This window comes from Homo sapiens, chromosome 10, assembly GCF_000001405.40.
Source record: "Homo sapiens chromosome 10, GRCh38.p14 Primary Assembly".
Taxonomy (NCBI): Eukaryota; Metazoa; Chordata; class Mammalia; order Primates; family Hominidae; genus Homo; species Homo sapiens.
In genome coordinates this window covers 72126336-72148915 of record NC_000010.11, presented here as the reverse complement: position 1 = coordinate 72148915, position 22580 = coordinate 72126336, and the positions used below count along the sequence as shown (strand labels likewise).

At 39.7% G+C, this 22580-nt stretch overlaps 1 protein-coding gene across 38 annotated transcripts in view; it reads left to right on the top strand.

The window, feature by feature from the left end:
• ASCC1 (activating signal cointegrator 1 complex subunit 1) overlaps window positions 1-22580 on the top strand; it is a 121103-nt gene that overhangs the window by 68219 nt on the left and 30304 nt on the right. For 33 of the 38 annotated variants that reach the window (NR_045564.1, NM_001369099.1, XM_047425258.1 and 30 more), the window contains 2 exons: window positions 15735-15859; window positions 20749-20834. Coding sequence is in view for 37 of the 38 variants with exons in the window: in NM_001369099.1 (NP_001356028.1) it covers window positions 15735-15859; window positions 20749-20834 (211 nt within the window). In the remaining variant the exon portion in view is untranslated. The remainder of the gene's footprint in view (window positions 1-15734; window positions 15860-20748; window positions 20835-22580) is intronic. The other 5 variants (XM_047425261.1, XM_047425259.1, NM_001369112.1 and 2 more) reach the window with 1 other exon arrangement.

Below are 22580 nucleotides of genomic sequence, written 5' to 3'. Positions count from 1 at the left end.
TCAGATAATTGTGGATATCTCATACTACTCTAAATTTGACAAGTCATAGTTTTTTTTTTAAAGATTAGTTGCAATGTGGAATCTGAACCTGTATTAGTGAACATTCATACTCTCTTACATTAAAATCCATTGGTCTGTTACACATTTTGACTGGATCTTTAACCCATGCATGGTTTTCTAACATCAGTTATTTAGAAAATACTGGTTCACTGAGTTATGCAGATTTCTCAAATGTTGACACATTTTATTTTGCAGTATTTAAAATATGTTAATATCACTACCAATTTCATCAAAATTTTTAAGCATTGGGAAGCTGTCAAACTGATGGTGGCAGATACACATTTTCCAAAATTCTAATTTTTACTTGAAAGCTCGAATTTTAATATTGGCACCAAATACTGATAGTTATTTTCCTTGATTTTCTCTTTTGAGAAAATGTCTGCCAAACAGCTAGGCCTGAATAACTATAATTTGTCTGTGGTTCTTTTAAGTAAAGATGGTGTTCTATGGATCAAGACTAGTTCAGCTCACAATTCAGACAGCTCACAAGTGCGTTTTTCCAGACAGCCATCTACTTAGGTATATGGACCCAGTACTTTATTCATTTATTTTTTTAAATTTTCTTTTACTTTTTGTATTTCTTTTTCCAAAAGGAACACAGCTTGAACTGGTGTTTTATACATACTGCCAGTTTCATCACACAGGATATTAAAAGATGTGCACTCAAGGGCTGAGATTTAATAAAATCATTTTTACTGCTTTATCAAGATTAAATGAAACTTAAAAAAAACCTGTAAATATATAGTGAAGAATATACTGCTACTAGCACAGTTTGATGCCGTTACTGTAATTCATGCTAGGGTGCCAGCAGCTTTACCTACTATTGCTTTTGCACCATTAGTGCAAATGTCATCCCCGTTAAAAAGATAGATAATGTCATAAATATTATAAAAATAGTTTTGACCTATGGACTCCCTAAAAGAGTTTCAGAGACCTCCAGAGACCCACAGACCACGTAAGAACCACTGGTCTAAGTAATATTTTATCTCTAACATTTTAGATTATAGTTTCCAGGGAATTATAACTAACTTTGGTTAGCACTTACTCTTGCCTGGCACGGTGCTTAGATTGTATTATTTCCATTTAGTCTTCGTAACATCTGTGTAAGATAAATACTGTTTTTATGCCCATTTTATAGATCAGGGAAGTTCAGAGAGCCTAAGTGATTTGGGTAAGGAACATATAGATAGCAAAGCTGTGCCCTGAACTAAGAAGGTTTTCAGTGTGTATATGCTAAGTTGAGTAGGATAGACTATGTTCCAATTCTTAGAGTGGAAAATTTAACTTAAAATTTATTATTTTAGGCCAGCCACAGTGGCTCATGCCTGTAATCCCAGCACTTTGGGATGCCAAAGTGGGTGGATCATCTGAGGTCAGGAGTTCGAGATCAGCCTGGCCAACATGGCGAAACCTTGTCTCTACTAAAAATATAAAAATTAGCTGGGTGTGGTGGCTCATGCCTGTAACGCAGCTGCTCGGGAGGCTGAGGCAGGAGAATCACTTGAACCCTGGAGGCAGAGGTTGCAGTGAGCCAAGATCGTGACACAGCACTCTAGCCTGGGTAACAGAACGAAACTCCATCACAAAAAAAATAAAAGGTGTTGTGAAATATCCACTGAATCCACTAGTGCAATCAACCAAGAACATTTTTGGATAATTCTCACCTCTTGTACTGCTCTAGTTTTTCTTTTCTATTGTCTATTCCTCTTCCTGACAATAGCCACTTTTGTATTATTTCAAAAAGATTTGTAAATTCCCCTTCCAAAATCTAGGATGCCTAAGGGACTTATTCACTTATTTAATTTCATTAAAAAACTATCTGAATGCCTCCTTTGTGCAAGATATTTTGCAAGACAGTGCAAATTGATACAGAAGCTAGTAACACATGGCCCTGTTTTTAAGGACCATTCAATCTTTTTCTTTATGTGAAAAGACAGCTCAATACAAGAACTGTGTGTAGTAAAATACATGTAATGAAGATACAAGCACTTAACTTTTTTTGGTATGCTTTCATATGTAGTATTTTAAATCAAAGATTCCCTTAAATGATTGAATGTGAAATGCCTGACCTTTAAAAGGACGTAACCACTTAGATCAGATTTGTTCTCTGGAAACAGAGAGCTGGGACAGTAGAGTTACACTTACTAATGCATCCTCGGTTTGGTTTGGTAAAGTGTGACTGGTAAGAAATTTGTTTAAGGAAGCTTTTACATTAGCTAGGAGTCAGCTGTTAGGACTTATACACTGAACACTGTGGCTATTCTGTTTTGTCTGTTACTCTCTAAACCCTCCACCTTTGTCCCTTGTCCCTCTCAAAAGAATGGTTTCTCCTATTTTGCTGAGAACATGAAGCCACTGCCTCAACTTCCTCCTTTTCCTATCACAGTTCACCTATTTTCATCTCCTGCACTCAACTCAATTTCCTTGTTTTTCTGAAAACGTTCACTCTGATGAGACTAATCCTTTTACTTATTCTCGTGACCCCATTTCTTCTTATCTCCTCAAAGACCTGACACCCTCGGTTATTCTGCTCTGCATGGCCTTTCTAGTCCCCTTTCCCCAGGCATTCTTTGAATGCCTAGGATATGCAGGGCAGTAGACCATAGCGCTTCTGTCATCCACAAGAGGCAGATGGCAGCCATTAAGATCCACTAGGGTGAGGCTGTGATTGAGATGCCAGGGCTGTCGGGAAGGGCAGGACACCTCTGCCCACGGATGGGCAAATCTCCTAAAGGAAGGCTTCATGGAGGAGGTTTCTTTGCTGAATAAAGAGTTTGCAGGCTAAAGGAGTACCTTTTTAGGAAATGGGAATAAATAGCAAATGCAAAGTCACAGAGGCACGAAAGAGCATTATTTTCCAATAGAATGTGTGAGATGGGAATGGGGTAAGGTGGGAGATGAGGCTGCAGAACAGGCAGGGTTTAGATCTAGAAGTGCTGTTATATGCCACTTAAAGGAAGTTTTTTTCCATTTGGTCATTTGTTTATTCAACAAAACTTTATTGAAAGCCTACTGTATCCCAGGTACTGTGTTATAGTCTGAGTATAGAGTAGTGAATAAAGCCAGACACAGCCATTGCTCCAGTGTAGTTTACAGACAAGTGGGGAAAACAGACATTAACAAATACCACATGAATATATTAATGTAATTGCAAAGTGGGATAAAGACTGAGCAAGGGAAAAACGATGCTCTCTAACAGAGGGAAACTATTATGGCAATTTAGGGAAGAGATTTAATAACACTTACCATTTTCACTGCTTTATCAAGATTAAATGAAACTTAAAAGAAAAAGCCTCAAGGAAAGCTTCTCTAAGGAATTGATGTTAAAAGCCTGTCTAAGGAATTGATGTTAAACTGAGATCTAAAAGAGTTGGAGTTTGCAGGCTAAGAGTGGTGGGAAGGTTCTTTCCAGCTTTTAGGCAAACAGAAGAGCAGAGCAAAAGCCCCATGGCAAGAAAAAGCCTGGCAAACTCCAGATATAGATGGGGCATGAGGAGTAGGAGAGTGATACAGATGGAGACCTGAAGAAATTAGAGGGGTGCTTGGATTAAGGTAGAAGCAGTAGATAAGAGGAAAAAGATTAAATGCAAACAATACATAAAAAGAAATCCACATCAAGATAGATCATAATGGAACTACAGATCATTAAAGACAAAGAGAAGATCTTAAAAGAAGCCACCTATGGAGGATTGACAATTATGACGACAGCAGACTTCTCAATAACAATAACAGAAGCCAAAGACAGCAGAATGATATTTTCTGAATGTTAAAACAACTGGCAACCTGGAATTGTGTACTCAGGAAAAAACAAAATATTTAAACAACAAAGGTATGAAATAAAAACTTTCAGAGATGAACAAAAACGGAGAGAATTTACCACTGTGAGATAACCACAGTAAAGGAACTTCTAAAGGGTATATTTCGGAAAAGGAAAATGAATCCAGAAAGTCTGAGATATAAGGAGGCTAGTATGAGATGCAGAAAGCAATCGTGGGTAAATAAAATAGTCTGTATAAAATAATGATTTTATATTTAAGGGGGCGTTTAAAAATGATAGAACTAAAATATCAACTAACAGCAGGTAAATCAGGACTAAGGGGAATTCTAGAATTGAAGTATTCTAGAGTGTTTTTTTTAATTTCAAGGGAGAGGCAGGATATTAAGATATTAATTAACTTTAGACTTTGAAAAGCTAAATGTACATAGTAAAAATTTAAAAATAAGTCTAAAAATAGTGTAAATTCCAAACAAGTAGAGACAGAAAAAAGGGGACAAACACAAATTCAATCCAAGAAGGGACAAGAAGCATGGGAAAAAGTGGAATGAGCAGAAATTAAGAAGTAAGGTGGTGGGAAGAAATCCAGACATATAATAATTACAATATATGTTAATGGAATAAACTCACCAGTTAAGAAAATATAGGATTAGATATAGCCAAAATTAAGTTATATGCTTTTAATAAGTGACATGTCTACATAAGGTTGAAATAGTACAAAGGAAAAAGATATATGAGGCAAACACCAAAAGAAAGTTGGCGTAACTGAATTAATATCAGACATGATAAACTTAAAGAAAAAATGCAGCCAGCTGTGGTGGCTCACGCCTGTAATCCCAGCGCTTTGGGAGGCCGAGGCGGGTGGATCATGAGGTCAGGAGTTCAAGACCAGCCTGGCCAAGATGGTGAAACCCCATCTCTACTAAAAATACAAAAATTAGCTGGGCGTGGTGGCAGGTCCCTGTAATCCCAGCTACTTGGGAGGCTGAGACAGATAATTGCTTGAACCCAGGAGGTGGAGGTTGCAGTGAGCCAAGATCACGTGTGGGCAACAGAGTGAGACTGTTAAAAAAAAAAGAAAGAAAGAAAAGAAAAAATGCATTATTAGCAATAGAGAAGGCTATTATATATGATAAAGGGTTCATTTTACCAGGAAGATATAACAGTTCTGAACTTGTATGAGCCTAATAGAACAGCCTCAAAGTAGATTAAGTGAAATTTGTATAGTTAATTTTTTATTAGGGAAAAACTGAGAAACCCTTCATCATAGGAGGAGATTGCAACCTATTTCTTAATTATTGGTAGATCAAGCAGATATAAAGTCAGTAAAGATACAGAATATTTTAACCATGAGCAAGTTTTATCTAATACTCATCTCTGGAATTATATGCCCAGTAATTAGAGAATTCATATTCTTTTCAGGCACATGGAACAGTAGAAAAAAAATGATTACATACTAGATCATAAAGTAAGGCTTAGTACATTTTAATGAGTTGGTATCTTGCATATTATACTTTCTGACCAGAGATAAAACAAGGTTACCTACAGTTACCAAATTATTAGGAAATAATAAGGGAGTTTGAGGCGTGGTGGTATGCATCTGTAATCCCAGCTACTTGAGAGGCTGAGACTGGAGGGTTGCTTGAGCCCAGGGGTTTGAGGCCAGTCTGAGCAACAGAGAGACCCTGTCTCTTAACAACAACAACAACAACAAAAAGGGAGTTTAGTAAGGTGATTGACTGTAAAATCAGTATAATAAAATCCTTTGGTTTTCTGTATACCAGCAGCAAACAGAAAGCAGTATCATTTAAAATAAAACACATTTATAGTAGCAACAAAAATTATAAGGAAATTAGGAATAACTATGACAAAACACATTTAATAACACATTTAATACCTTTTTTTTTTTTTTTTTTTCCTGAGACGGAGTCTCGCTCTGTCACCCAGGCTCGAGTGCAGTGGCACCATCTCTGCTCACTGCAAGCTCCACTGCCTGGGTTCACGCCATTCTTCTGCCTTGTCCTCACGAGTAGCTGGGACTACAGGCGCCCACTACCATGTCCGGCTAATTTTTCGTATTTTTAGTAGAGATGGGGTTTCACCATGTTAGCCAGGATGGTCTAGATCTCCTGACTCGTGATCCACCCACCTCAGCCCTCCCAAAGTGCTGGAATTACAGGCGTAAGTCACCATGCCTGGCCCATTTAATACCTTTTTGCAGGAAATTATAAATAAATTGAGAGACTATATGAATTGTATGCAATTATATACTACATGTGTAATGGAAACGAAGTATCAGGAACAGGAGGGGGAGGTATTTAAAAGTCATTACTCTAGTCCAGCTGAGAAGCAAAGAAGGCCTGAACTAGAGCAGTAGCAATGAGAATCACGTGGATGCAAGAATAGTGAAATCTGGCCGGGTGCAGTGCCTCACACCTGTAATCCCAGCACTTTGGGAGGCTGAGGCGGGCAGATCACCAGAGGTCAGGAGTTCAAGACCAGCCTGGCCAACATGGTGAAACCCCGTCTCTACGAAAAATACAAAAATTAGCCGGGCATGGTGGCACATGCCTGTAATCCCAGCTCCTCCAGAGGCTGTGGCAGGAGGATTGTCTGAGCCTGGGAGGTGGAGGTTGCAGTGAGCTGAGATCACGCCACTGCACTCAAACCTGGGCAACAGAGGAAGACTCAGTCTCACCAAAAAAAAAAAAAAAAGTGAAATCTGCTGGATTTGGCAATTTTCTGAAAGTAGAGGGTAAGAATAAGATGAATGTGAACTCTCATGACTAAACTGGTTAATCTCAGGAATGCAAAGATGAATTAGGAACAGAAAAATCTAATAATATCCTACTAAATGGGTCAAATTAAAAAATAATAGCTAAGTGCATGGCTGAAAGACTTTTGATAAAATTTAATATTTTTTCAAGAAACTTTCAAAAAATAAAAATAGATACTGTCTAATATGTCTATTTTAAATCAACAATCATATTGAACAGTAATATACCAGGTTTATTCCCATTACAATCAGAAAACAGGGTTGCCTACATTTATCATTAATATTAAACACATTGTTCTGACAGTTTTGGCTAATACCCCAGCTACAGAGACAATTTTAAAAAGTACATAGGTGTTGTGTGGGAAAATTTTTTTAGAAGACCAATGGTCATTATTTGCAAATAAATAGCATTCTACTAAAAATACTTGTAAAAGCTTTAACATTGATAAGAGATCAGTAAAAGTGCTAATAAGTAGTTAGACAAAAGATAAATATCCAAAAATAAATAATTTAGTATCTACAAAGTACCAGGCATTGTATCAGATACCGTAAGGGAAACAAAAATGGGTACAATGGCTCTTATGTTAGGGAGCTTAAATCTATTCAGTAATTCATCTGTTACAAGGAAGGCTAATTTTAAAAGTAGAAGAAAACTAGGTAGATGTTTGATAAGAGACATGAGAAGGTCATTGCTGGTAAAAGTATAAATTAATATAAGCTTTCTAGAGAGCATATTCGCCTTTTACTCCCAGAGTTTTATTTTGTATTTCTTAGACTTTGCTGATTTTCCCTGTAGGAATTTATCCAATGGAATTAATCAGAAATATGGGGACAAATATCTATATGAAGATCCCGATTACAGTATTGTATATAACAGTAAATACTGGCGGCAGTCTAAATGGTCATCAAAATCAAATTGATGGAAAATAAACTGTAGAACATCTGTAGAATAGAGAATACTGTGGGTTGACTAAACATTATATCTTGGGAAAGTATTCACTGTAGATTATTATGTGTTAAAAAGAGATTACAAAGCAATTTGTATACTGACTTCTATCTCAAAAGTGGGAAGAGAGAGCAATAGAAGAATAAGTCAGCCTGGATACATAAACAATTTACCAGTCGTTATTTGTGGATAACAAGTAATTTTTTTCTTTTAGCTTGTCTGATATATATCTATATATATCTGTATATCTATATCTCTATGTCTATATCTATATCTATCTATCTATCTATCTATCTATCTATCTATCTATCTATCTATCTATAAACAATTTGATGTTATACTTGGTATACTTGGTCAGCTCCAGGTTAGTGGTAATTAGTATGTGCTTGTAAGTGGTAGAATTGTGGTTTGACCCAGCTCTGTTTGACTGTAAAGCCTGTGCTTATGGGACAGAAAGAGGACATTAAAAATAAGTGGATATAGTCTACTCTTTTGAGCGTTTGGTGAAAAGATGAGAGAGGTATATATGTGTGCATTAAATTCCACAGTGGTGCAGCCCTGCATCACTATACATAGTTTGCCATCTTCCTTTCACAGCCAAGCCTCTTTTTACATTGTTTTTGCTTACAAAAATAAAATCTTACAGATGGGTGAAGTGAAAATTAAACAGTTCCTTTTCCCCCTCCTCCAACTCTTGAGTTTTCCTCCTCAGAGCAAATACCGAGAGTCATTGTCTATGCATATAATTTTACATAAATTGATCACATTACACATATATTTCTGCAGTTCATTCTTGTGAAATATAACCTACACATTACTTTTATGTTAGTGAATATAGATATTATGAAACACTACTACATCAGTCTAAGCAATAGCTTATGTACCATAGGACTTTGCTTAAAAATCTTTCATCATTTCTCATCATCTTTTGAATTCATAATCCTCAGTCTAGCATTCAAGATCTTCCAGTATGACATCATCTTAATACTTCAGCTTTATCTCCCACTATCTAGTGCCTGCCCTGGGCCCCAGCCTGCTTCATTATTGGTTGTTGATCTTTTGTTGTTAATATTGTTTCTTGTGACTGAAATTTCCCTTATATTACTCCTCTTTTGTCCAAATGCTATTTCTCTTTCCTCTTGCCATCCTTTCTTCTTTTTCTTAAATAGACTGTAAGATTCTTGGGGGCAGGGAGTTATGTGTTATTTGGCTGCCTTTTGTAATGCATGACATAGATGTTCGAAGAATGTTTGTTATTTATTCATTTAACTGATGTAAAAAAATGCATTGAGTGCAGTTAGCTTCTTATCCTAAGCCCGTCCTCCTTGCAACCTATACTGGTCCTAACCCCACTATAATCTCTTCCACTTTTAAATTACCCGAAACACTCTGTATTGCTTATGTTATTACCAAAATCTACTTTATAGTCTCATAAAAATAATAACAAAATTTTATCTTAGTGGATTGTAGATCTATTAATAACAAGGACCATCTTTGCTTAGTTTTTATTCTTGTAATCACTAGGATGATGTCTGTACACAGTGAGCGCTCAGGAAGCATTAATTGGATGGAGCTGAATTAAATTGGGAGGGAAAGCCCAAACAAAAGCTTGAAATTTGCACTTTCTAGGCAGTCAGTGATCATTCTGCAGCACAAACTCCTTATTTGTAAAGATGGTCCTGGAATGCTTGAGCTTTATAGCACTTACAGGCCTTTAAACTAAGAGCTTAGATTTAGTGCATTAATAACTGGCTTCTGTTTTCAAATCCAAAGCACTATCTAAGTGATAAAGCTGCTTAAGAATAATTCATTCCTTTTTTCATAGCAACCCTGTTATATTTAATTTGCTTATTAGGAAGCAAAGGCATAGAGAAGCTTTGTGATTTATTCATAAACAGGAAAGGATCAATGAAATAAGAATTGAAATAATATACTGTTAGAAATGGCTGGGTGCCGTGGCTCACACCTGTAATCCCAGCACTTTGGGAGGCCAAGGTTGGGTGGATCACGAGGTCAGGAGATCGAGACCATCCTGGCTAACACGGTGAAACCCTGTCTCTACTAAAAAATACAAAAAATTAGCCGGGCGTGGTGGCGGGCATCTGTAGTCCCAGCTGCTCGGGAGGCTGAGGCAGGACAATCGCTTGAACCTGGGAGGCGAAGGTTGCAATGAGCTGAGATTGTGCCACTGCACTCCAGACTGGGCAACAGAGTGAGACGCCGTCTCAAAAAAAAAAAAAAAAAGAAAAAGAAAAAAGAAATATAGTGACATATTGTCAACCTGAAATTTAACGATTATGTCCAAGTACCCTTAAGCTCTCTTAATAGAATTCCAAAATATTTGCTATCTGTGAATTCATTCATGAATGCATGTAAAGACTGTTGAGCACTGATTATGTGCCAATTAGGCATTAGTTTAGGTGCAGAGATAAAACAGTGAATAAGACAAATAGCCAGTCTTCGTGGAGTGCACAGTGAATTGAAAACAGAACAAGCCGAGCGCGGTGGCTCACGCCTGTAATCCCAGCACTTTGGGAGGCCAAGGCCAGCAGATCACCTGAGGTCAGTGGATCAGCCTGCCCAACATGGCAAAACCCCATCTCTGCTAAAAACACAAAAATTAGCTGGGTGTGGTGGCGAATGTCTGTAATCCCAGCTACTCGGGAGATGGAGGTTGCAGTGAGCCAAGATTGCGCCACTGCACTCCAGCCTAGGTGACAGAGTGACTCCATCTCAAAAAAAAAAAAAAAAAAAAAAAGAAAGAAAGAAAGAAAAAGGAAACAGCACAGGCTGCCTGTAGACTTGGATTCTGGTTCCTCTGTCACTGACTGAGCAACCCAGCCTCTCTGCATCATTTCCTTCTGTGTAAAAAGAGCAGGTTACACTAGAACTTTTTAAAGGATATTAGTCCCTTCAAAGTTTTGAGTCTGTAAATTGTCAGAAATCCTAGTTTTCCAGAAAGACAAAGGTGGAAACTGATTTCTTTCATGTAGTCTGTTTAGTTTACTTACTCCAGTATTTCATGCTTCGTGTTTCATGTTCAGTTTTATATAGCTGAACTCCCTGTCTACTTTTTTTCTTCAAGAGATTAAGGGGGAAAGTGAGGAATTATTCTGTTGTGATTTGTAACTGAAGTGCAATTTGCGGTGCATGGTTATATTCAGACCTAAGTTATATTTAGAAATATATGGTTCAGCCAGGCACAGTGGCTCACGCCTGTAATCCCAACACTTTGGGAGGCCAAGGCAGGTGGATCGTTTGAGGGCAGGAGTTTGAGACCAGCCTGGGCAACATGGCAAAACCCTGTCTCTACTAAAAATACAAAAATTAGCCGGTGGCAGTGGCACACGCCTGTAATCCCAGCTACTCGGGAGACTGAGGTAGGAGAATCGCTTGAGCCTGGGAGGCAGAGGGTTGCGGTGAGCTGAGATCGTGCCACTGCACTCTAGCCTGGATGAGAGAGTGAGACCCTGTCTCTGAAAAAAAAAAAAGAAGAAGAAGAAATATTATGGTTCTTAGATGGTGTTAATCAGAAACTTTTAAAAGCAGTTTATCTGAAAATTTTTTCTGATTACGTAACCTCACCATCCATAGATATACATTTAACACAAAAGGTTAAGTGTTTATCTGCGTGGTGAGGTTATGTTTTCCTTTTTATGCTTTTCGTACTTTTTTCATATGTTCTATAATGAGCTTGTATTATTTTTGTAATTGGGGAAAAAGATTAAGATAACTATATAAGGAAGCACAACATCTCTCTTAATTGGTTTCCGTGCTTTTAGTTGTTTTTCGTTTTTCCTTATGTTTTTTCCTTTTTTTTTTTTTTTTTTTGAGATGGAGTCTTGCCCTGTCACCCAGGCTGGAGTGCAATGGCGCAATCTTGGCTCACTGCGACCTCCGCCTCACGTGTTCAAGCTATTCTCCTGCCTCATCCTCCCAAGGAGCTGGGATTATAGGCATGCACCACCACACCCATCTAATTTTTTGTATCTTTAGTAGAGATGGGGTTTCACCATGTTGGCCAGGCTGATCTCGAACTTCTGACCTCGTGATCTGCACGCCTTGGCCTCCCAAAGTGCTGGGATTACAGGCGTGAGCCACTGCACTTGGCCTGTTTCTTGCTTCTTAAAAACTGTCATTGATGGCCTGGCATGGTGGCTCACACCTGTCGTCCCAGCACTTTGGGAGGCCAAGGAGGGAAGGTCGCTTGAGGCCAGGAGTTCAAGACCTACTTGAGCAATATAGTGATACCCCGTCTCTACAAAAAGTTAAAAAAAAAAAATTAGCTGGGCATGGTGGTATGTCCAGAATTGGTTCCTTCCGGTGGGTTCTTGGTCTTGCTGACTTCAAGAATGAGGCCGCGGACCCTCGTGGTGAGTGTTACAGTTCTTAAAGATGGTGTGTCCGGAGTTTGTTCCTTCAGATGTTCAGATGTGTCCGGAGTTTCTTCCTGCCGGTGGGTTCGTGGTCTTGCTGACTTCAGGAGTGAAGCTGCAGACCTTTGCAGTGAGTGTTACAGCTCTTAAAGGTGGCGCATCCGGAGTTGTTTGTTCCTTCCGGTGGGTTCATGGTCTTGCTGACTTCAGGAATGAAGCCGCAGACCCTCGTTGTGTTAGAGCTCATAAAGGTAGTGCGGACCCAAAGAGTGAGCAGCAGCAAGATTGATTGTGAAGAGTGAAAGAACAAAGCTTCCACAGCATGGAAGGGGGACCCAAGTGGGTTGCTGCTGCTGGCTTGGGTGGCCAGCTTTTATTTTTATCCCTTATTTGGCCCCGCCCACATCCCCCTGCTGATTGGCCCATTCTGATTGGTCCATTTTACAGAGTGCTGATGGGTGCATTTATAATCTTTAAGCTAGACACAGAGCGCTGATTGGTGCATTTTTACAGAGTGCTGATTGGTGTGCTTACAATCCTTTAGCTAGACACAGAGTGCTGATTGGTGCGTTTTCACAGAGTGCTGATTGGTGCGTTTACAATCCTTTAGCTAGACACAGAGCGCTGATTGGTGCGTTTTCATAGAGTGCTGATTGGTGCGTTTACAATCCTTTAGCTAGACACAGAGCGCTGATTGGTGCGTTTTTACAGAGTGCCGATTGGTGCATTTACAATCCTCTAGCTAGGCAGAAAAGTTCTCCAAGTCCCCCATTCAACCCAGGAAGTCCAGCTGGCTTAACCTCTCAGTGGCATTTACTTGTAGTCCCAACAACTTGGGAGGCTGAGGCAGGAGGATAGCTTGACCCCAGGAGTTCAAGGCTGCAGTTAGCTGTGATTGTGCTACTGCACTCTAGCCTGGGCAGCAGAGTGAGATCATGTCTCTTAAAAAAAGAAAAACAACAACAACAACAACAAAAAACAACCCTCGGTTTCCTATGGCTTACCAAGTAAGAGTCCAATGCTGCCTGACCCATGTGGCCTTCACAGCTTGGCTTCAGCCTGCCCTTCCCTTTCTACAGATTTTCTCCAGTCCTTGAATGTATTGTGTTCTTTGACATTCAATCTCTCAAATACTCAGGAGAAACATTGTTTTAGAGTCACCTTCACTTCTTTGATTCCCTTATACCAGAGAATCTCACTTCTCACCACTTACAGTGCCACTGTCCCAGCCATCTGGGTGATTGCCACAGCCTCCTAACTGCCTTCCTGCTTCTGTCCTGCCTCCACTGCTGTCTGTCCTCCACACAGCAGCCAGATCATGTCAGTCTTCTGCCTAACACCCTCCAAAAGCTCCCACCTCACTCTGTAACTACTGAAGTCGTTCCATGGGCCTGAGAGCTTCAGCTAACCTGGTCACACCTCTCCGACTTCATCACTTCTCTCTTCCTAGTTTCACTGCAGACACTGGCATCCTTTCTATTCCTCAGTCCTTCTGTGCATATGCCTGTCTCAGAAATGCGTATTTGCTGTTTCCTCTCTCCAGAATGCTTTTCCCTCAGGTCTCTGTCAAATGTCACTTTATTAGGGAGACCCTTCCTGATCACTCTACTTAACATAGTGCCCCCACCCCCATTCACACTCTACTCCCTCTCTGCCGTTTCATCTCCTTCAAGGCATGTGGCACCCAGAGGTGTGCGTGTGTGTTTGTTCATTCCTCCTACCTGAATGTGAGCTGCACAAGGGTGGGGCTTGTTTTGTTCACTGCTGTGTTCCTATCACCTGTGAACACACCATCCTTTGAGGTCTTGTTCTGTCCATTTCCCCTATTGCCTGGTTTCCTTTTCTTTCTCTGTTGGATAATTTCTTGTCAGTAAGCGTTTGCAACTTTTTCTCCTCATTGAAAACACACACAGCCCTCACTCAACTCTGTATCTTCAGATTCCCCAGGTATTCGTTTCTCTCCTTCCTTTCAAGTTTCTTGACAGAGTTATGTGCACTTCCTGCCTTCCCTCCTCTCTGGCTCCTCCGTCAGAAGATTTCTATCCCCAGTGTGCTAGCAAAACTGCTCTGATAGAGGACTCTAATTGTGAGAAACAAGGAGGCATATTTTTGCTTTTTTTCTTTTCTCGAGTGTTGTACTGTACGGTTATTCCTTTTTTCCCCCTTGTAATTCTCATTTCAGCCTCTCTGAAGTCTTCCTGTTCTTATTTCCTCATCCTTATCAGTTGTCTTTGCTGGTTCCCAGGTGGCTGGGACAGTGGCACTGGAAGTGGTGAGAAGTGAGATGCCCTGGTATAAGGGAGTCAAAGAAGTGAAGGTGATTCTAAAACAATGTTTGTCCTAAGTAATTGAGAGATTCAATATCAAAGAACATAATACATTCAAGGACTGGAGAAAATCTATAGAAAGGGAAGGGCAGCAATGAAACAGAAAGGCAGGCTGAAGCCAAGCTGTGAAGGCCACATGGGTCAGGAAGGATTGGACTCTTACTTGGAAGACCATAGGAAACCGAGGGTTGTTTTTTGTTATTGTTGTTTTTCTTTTTTTAAGAGACGTGATCTCACTCTGCTGCCCAGGCTAGAGTGCAGTGGCACAATCACAGCTCACTGCAGCCTTGAACTCCTGGGGTCAAGCTATCCTCCTGCTTCAGCCTCCCGAGTTGCTGGGACTACAAGTGCATGCCACCATGCCCAGCTAATTTAAAAAATTTTTCTTGTAGAGACGAGGTATTGCTATATTGCTCAAGTGGATCTTGAACTTCTGGCCTCAAGTGATCTTCCCTCTTTGGCCTCCCAAAGTGCTGGGATGACAGGTGTGAGCCACCATGCACGCGCCACTACCACCTGGCTAGTTTTTGTATTTTTAGTAGAGATGGGGTTTCACCATGTTGGCCAGGCTGGTCTCAAACTCCTGACCTCAAGTGATCAGCCTGCCTCAGCCTTCCAAAGTGCTGGGATCACAGACATGAGCCACTGCACCCGGCCCCTTCTAATTTTGGATTTGCCACTTAGTTTTGTGAAGTTGGTCAAGTTTTGTAACTTCTCTGTGCCTTGGCTTCTGTATTGGTAAATAGGGATAATAATTGGTTATGAGGATTAAATGATTTAACAGATAAAAAGTGCTTAGAACTGTGCCTGACACATCATAGTGATGTTGACTGTTGAAGTAGCCACCTAGCTGACTGACCTCTGTAGCTGTTCCTCTTCTAAAGCCCTTCCCACTCTGCTATTGAGTCAGCTTTCAAAAATGGACATCAGACCACATAATTCCCTTTTGAAAGTCTTTCTGTGGCTTCCCTAATCTGACCACTGCTTATAGACTTAGCTCATCTCCATTGTCCCTTTTCTGTCACTCTCTGTCATAACTGTATTGTAAATAATTGACAGTTTTTTGAATATGCTGTGATCTTGCATGCCTTGGCATCTTTGCACTTGCTGTTTCTTCTTCTACTTGAAGTGCCCCTCCTTCCCTGGTGTTATTTGCAAATCTTTAATGATCATTCCAGACTATGTCTAAACCTCCTGTGGAAACCTGGCCCTCTCCATGTAGAGTTGATCACTCCCTTCACGCTCACCATAATATATTGCCATCATTTATTTCTACTATCTGTTAAGCAGACAAACAAGACTGATCTTTAGCTCCATGATGGTGGGAGATGAGTCTCTTATTCTTCCTCCTGTGATGCAGGGCTTTGTATGGTGATTAGCACAGAGCACATGCTCCATAAACATTGTTGAATTGGTAATCGCATGTTCAGAAGTTTACTAAGATTTCTGCATTACTTTTCTCCAATTTCTCCAGGCTACAAGAATTAGTTGATCGAGTGCTGGAACGTTTTCAGGCATCTGGACTAATAGTGAAAGAGTGGAATAGTGTGAAACTGCATGCTACAGTTATGAATACACTATTCAGGAAAGACCCCAATGGTAAGTCCCCCAGAGAACTATAGCACAGTTTGTGATCAGCGGCCTTGTGGCATCTCTGAGGTTTAGGTAGAATGAGCTATCAAAGAATCTCTGATATAGCTTCTTTTTTAGACCTCTTAGCTTATTCTGATGAGCATAGTAGAGGTGGGCAAGAACATATATAGCATGGAACTGTGGCTTCCAGATCTTTTATTTCTGTCACACATAGGATTGCCATATTTAGCAAATACAAATACAGGATGCTCTGGTAAATTTTATATAAACAGTGAATAAATTTTTGGCATAAGTATGTCGCATGCAATACTTGGTGGCTTTTTTTTTTTTTAAAGAGAAAAAAGAAAGGAAGGTGAGCTAGTGAAAGTAAATGTTAAATCAGTGTTTCTCAACTGGGGGTTATTTTGCCCCCAGATGACATTTGGCATTGTCTGGAGACATTTTTGGTTATCATAGTTAGGGAGCTGGAGATGGGTTGCTGCTGGCACCTAGTGGGTGCTGTCTAACACTCTACAATGCATGGGACGGTCCCCCATGACAAAGAATTATTCTTCCCAAAATGTCGTAGCACAGAGGTTGAGAAACCTTGTGTTAAAATAATAGTTTTTTTCTTCATGGACTCTGAGCCTTTTTATAAAAATGCCTTGTTTTAATCCTTGATTTGGGATAGTTGTTTATTTCAAAAAGAAGTTTTCTTTTCTTCCTGTCCCTATCTCCAAAGTGAAAGCTTCTCTAGTACCTTCAGCATCGGATCAGGAGTCACACATTCAAGCCATATGCAGCTCTTCCTTCCAAGACTCGTGGTTCAAAATACACTAGCAGCACCAAGGTCACGTATTCCGGTTTCATTTCCTTTCTTGAGCCCTGACCTTGGTTTTAGAAAATCTAGGTGGGGGCCAGGTGCGGTGGCTCATGCCTGTAATCCTAGCACTTTGGAAGGCTGAGGCGGGTGGATCACTTGCATTTAGGAGTTCAAGACCAGCCTGGCCAACATGGTGAAACCCCGTCTCTACTAAAAATACAAAAATTAGCCGGGTGTGGTGGCACATGCCTGTAATCCCAGCTACTTGGGAGGTTGAGGCAAGACAATCGCTTGAACCTGGGAGGCGGAGGTTACAGTGTGCCGAGATCGCACTCCAGCCTGGCAACAGAGCAAGACTCCTTCTCAAAAAAAAAAAAAAAAAAAAAATCTATCTAGAGGAGAAGATAACTCCATCAGGACTTGAATCATTGACTATTTGTAGGTTTTTAGTTAGGACAATTTGTGTGTCCCTTTTAGTTAAGGCACGTCTTTTAATTTCTCTCAGATATGTACCAAAGATCCCAACTGGCAATCATTTGATAATTAACCCCGTTTAGTTACAGTCATGGTAGGACCAAGAAATTTGTAGCTATCTAGTTATTAGTTCTAAAATACTACTATTTTGTGATGCCATATTGAATTTTATTTAAGACTTATAAATAAATCTCTATTTTACTTTTGAGAACACTGAGATTAAGAGAGCTTCAAATAACTCAGTTAAAGCCTATATACTCTTGTTTGGGTAGGTAATAGAATCCAAAACTTTGAACTTGTTCCAGTTGAGTGTGTGTGTGTGTGTGTGTGTGTGTGTGTGTGTGTGTATTTTTATTTTATTTTTTTGAAATGGAGTCTTGCTCTGTCGCCCAGGCCGGAGTGTGCAGTGGCGCCATCTCAGCTCACTGCAACCTCCGCCCCCCAGGTTGAAGCAATTCTCCTGCCTCAGCCTCCTGAGTAGCTGGGATTACAGGCACCTGCCACCGCGCTCAGCTAATTTTCGTATTTTTAGTAGAGACAGGGTTTCACCATCTTGGCCAGGCTGATCTTGAACTCCTGACCTTGTGATCCACCTGCCTCGGCCTCCCAAAGTGCTGGGATTACAGGCATGAGCCACTGCGCCCGGCCCAGTTGAGCATATTTCTTTCCTTCGGGGAGTAGTAGTACAGGAAGTAGGAATATTTTCAATATCTATGTATTATAATGCAGCTTGTCCAGTAGAAGCATGTAACTAGGTTTGTGCTATTTGTTTTATTCTGAACAGTGTATTTTAATTTTGGAAAACAAATTGAGAATCCCCTGAGATGATGTACATTTTAACATTATTATGTAAAGGCAGAGTTTCAGAACTCTGGAGTATACTCTAAATTTATTGTTTCAGAAGACATACTGTATTAAGAAAACGGTCTGTGATGATTGAAGTATTCTGTATCTGCGATGTCCAATATGGTAGCCACTAGACACATGGGGTTATTGAGCACTTGAAAGGTGGCTAGTGAGACTGTGAAAGTGAACTTTTATTTTTAATTTTAATTAAAATTTATGGGAAAACATCTGGATAGTGGCCACTGTTTTGGGCGTTGCAGGTATAGACAGTATTTTATTAGACATTTATTAGCTATCAGTACATTTTCCATTTGTCTTAGTCCTTAAATATTTGTTCAGAGCTCTTAAAACTATGTCATGGTCCATCATTAACTAATCTCTTAACACAGGAAGAGTTCAGATATGTAGGAATCTGTATATTCTAAGTTGTGTGGATCCAGGTTTATATTCAGTTAGTACTAGAGCTTTATATAAGAGAGTGTTGTGTGTTTACAGTCTAGTTATCCCTCTATTTGCAGATGTTCAAAATATAATTGCTTTATTGAGATATAATTCACATACTCTACAATTTACTCTCTTGATATATATATATAATTTAGTGGTTTTTAGTCTGGTTAAACTTGTATAGCCATCACCACAATCAGTTCTAGAACATTTTCATCACCCTAAAATGAAACCCCATACCCACTGGCAGTCACTTTCCATTTCTTCCTACCCCTCTCACTCTGCCCTCCCCTGACCTCCACCAAGCCCTAGGCACCACTTGCCTACTTTATGTCTCTATAGAGCTGCCTGTTCTGGACATTTCATATAAACAGAATCATGCTGTATGTGATCTTTTGTGGCTGGCTGCTTTCACTTAGCATAATATTTTCAAGGCTCATCCATGTTATAACACATCAGTACTTTATTCCTTTTTTTGTTTTGTTTTCTGTGTGTTTTTTTTTTTTTTTTTTTTTTTTTTGAGACAAGGTCTCTGTTGCCCAGGCTGGAGTGTAGTAGAGTGATCTTGGCTCTCTGCAACCTCCACCTCCCGCACTCAAATGATTCTCCCACTTCAGCCTCCTGAGTAGTTGGGAATACAGGCACATGCCACTACACCCAGCTAATTTTTAAACTTTTTTTTTTTTTCCTAAGATGAAGTTTTGCTCTTGTTGCCTAGGCTGGAGTACAGTGGTGCAATCTTGGCTCACTGCAACCTCCGCCTCCCAGGTTCAGGTGATTCTCTTGCCTCAGCCTCCTGAGTAGCTGGGATTACAGGTGTGCGCCACCATGCCTGGCTAATTTTTGCATTTTTAGTAGAGACGGGGTTTCACCATGTTGGTCAGGCTAGTTAGTCTCCAACTCCTGACCTAAGGTGATCCACCTGTCCCGGCCTCCCAAAGTGCTGGGGTTACAGGCATGAGCCACCATGTCTGGCTTAAACTTTTTTTTATAGTGACAAGGTCTCACTATATTGCCCAGGTTGGTTTCAGACTCCTGGGATCAAGTGGTCCTTCTGCTTCAGCCTCCCAAAGTGTTGGGATTACAGACGTGAGCCACCATGCCTGGTGCTTCATTTCTTTATGGCTGAATAATATTCCATTGTATGGATATGCCACATTTTATGTATCCTTTCATCAATTGGTGGACATTTGTGTTGTTTCCACTTTTTGATATTTATTTGGTATCAATTTATTTGTTGTTCTTTTGCAACTTCACACATTCTCTTTCTCTTAATTTTAAGTTGTGAAATATGCACGGGGTTGGGATCTTTGATTAAGAGCATCCTTCTCATTAGAGACATAGTTCCATAGTTACCCATGTGCAACTCCAGTGGGCTAGCTGAAATGTATTATGTATTATGTTCATGGAGTTTTTAAAACTCTAGATGTATTTCATCAATTCTGGCCTAGTACCCTCCTTACTTATAAAAGTAAAATAACGTACTTAAATGTGGAAATAAGTATTTTTGAAGGTCTGTCAGTGGGTAGGAAATGATTAATATTTCAGAAAATATTCTGAGTTAATTCTTGAGGATGCTTTGAATTTTTTGTACTCTGGACTCTCCTGTATTGAATTTTTACTTGAGAAGGACATGAAATGATGTTACATTTTTTTTCTTTCCTGTTTCCCTCTCTTTTGATATTCTTTTCCTTGCCAACCTTTAAGGATGTCTTTTGAGATATGCAACCCAAATTAACTTAAGAAGCTAGAGCACAGCTTGGTTTAGGCTAAGGTCATAGATTTGCTGCATTCCTGTGTAGAATATCTGTAAGGATACCTTTGATTGCAACTGAAGGGCTCTTTTTCCTCTGGGGGAAGCCCTTAAATCAACCCAGAGCATGAGTTTTGACTAGCTAATGTGTGAACTCTTATGTATTTTTACATATTTAAAATTATATGCCACTTTTCTTGGATCTATAGAACATAAGGAACCTTTGAAGATCACTTAGTCCTGCCTCTCACTTTGTCAATGAGGAACTAAGGTCCACAATGGAGACATAATTTGCCTAATAATGTAGCTAGTTGCATAGTTAGGAATATATAGTGAGTGCCTGGAGAATGTCGAATGAATAGATGAATGAATAAATGTATACTGAATGAATTGTTGACAGAACTGAGACTAGAAGCCAGGTCTCTTGATTCATAGCCTGACATTTTTCCTCTTCATTATGCCACTTTCCAGGTAGTTCATGAAAATTTTGCTAGTCGTACCTATGTACCTATAGAAATCCAAGAGAAAACAACCAATCAATCTAAGCTTCTAACATTATCTTTGGAATATTTACAGCTGAAGGCAGGTACAATCTCTACACAGCGGAAGGCAAATATATCTTCAAGGAAAGAGAATCATTTGATGGCCGAAATATTTTAAAGGTCAGTATGAAGCAGAGTGAATTGGAAATCCTTTGGCACATGTCCTAAATAAGGCAGGAAAACAAGTAGTTCTCCGTATATTTCTTCATACTTCTTCATACTTTTTCTCATACTTTTTTTTTTTAATTATCTAAAGGGAAAGAGAGGAAAAGTAGCTGGTCCTCTTAAGGCTTTGGCACTTCTAGAGTATTTGAAATTGGTGGTTTGTTTGTTTATTTGTTTATCTGAGACAGTGTCTCGCTCTGTTGCTCACGCTGGAGTGCAGTGGTGCAAACACTGCTCACTGGAGCCTTGACCTCCTGGGCTCAAGTGGTCCTGCCACCTCTGTCTCCCAAAGTGCTGGAATAACAGGTGTGAGCCTCTGCACCCTGCCTGAAATTGGTGATATAAGAAACACTTAGGAAAAAAAAAAAAAAAGAAACCCTTAGGTATTCCAACCACTTGGATTCATAGAAATAAGTTGATTTCAACCTAAGTTTTACTCTGTACTTATGAGGTTTGAGCTTGCATTTTTTTTAAGTGGAAAATAATTATTTGTCTTGTTTTAGTAGATTTTTCTCTTTACCCACAAAGTCAATCTCTGCAGTGGCTTTATAAGCCATTTTTACTCAGGAACAGCCTATGTCCTAAAAAGTAGATGGTCCATTTTTGACCATTGAAGCTTTGCCTTTCTGAGTGTTGAATTAATCTATGAAATGTAAGTAAAGGGGTTCTTCAGGATTACATTTGTCTTTCTCTAACAGACTACCCTTCTGTAATATTCATGATTTATGCCTTCTCCATCAGGTTAGCATGCCATTGTTCCTCTGGACAAAGAGAAACATAAGTTGATACTAATGGAGAGGTTTTCATTTCTTCTTTTCACTTGCTCTGTAAGGGTTTAGGTCATTTTCAAGGCTATGGGTGTTTTGCTGAGGTGGAGGAGGGAGTATATGATAACGTCAGAATAGGCTTTAGCTTTAGAAATGCTTTTACTTTTTCTTCCCTATTCCACCCTCCATTCCCTTATGTTGTCTCTTTACAGTTTTTTTGCCAAATGCCTAATGTGACCCCATTGCTTTAATTAATGACATCACTCTTCAGCAGCTGTGACTGCTTACCATGGAGCCCAATAGGGCAGTGTCAGCCATCGTCTCAGGCATTCCCGCACCTGCATTGCAGAGCTATGCTGAGTCCTTCCTTTCCTTGATATGTTTTCTCTTTTTGAGTAGTTTTCTTGTTTTTGAGGTAGCTTTGGGTTTGAGTGGCAGGCTGCTAATGAATTCAGTTGTAGTTAACTTTACTGTTTTTTCCAGGCTACAGCTTCGGTGTGATATGAATCTTTCTCCTCCTTTATCTCCCTTCTTTGGGGATTTTCCAGTATCACAATGAATTACTTTGCTTTTTGTTGTTGTTAATTTGGTTAAGAAAGAAAATAGACTGAATGGGGAAAGAAATCTTTAGGAATGGCTCAAAGCCAACTGGGTTTTCATGGAATTAAAACTGAAGCCTTGTGTGTTGGTACAAGTCAGGTGTGAGGTGCTTTGACATCTGTAAGAGTGGGGTGATGGCAGAGAGCCTGTTGGGTGGCCGTATGAGCAGTGTGGAGCTCTTACCTTGCTATAGAATTTCTCTCATTCTGGAAAGTAAGTTTTCAATTTAACTGCTTTTCCCTGAAATCTTCTGAACCACCCCAGTGATGATATGAATGTAGCTCCCTCTGGTGTTGACAAGGACTTGCTATATCAGTAATACCCTTATTAATTC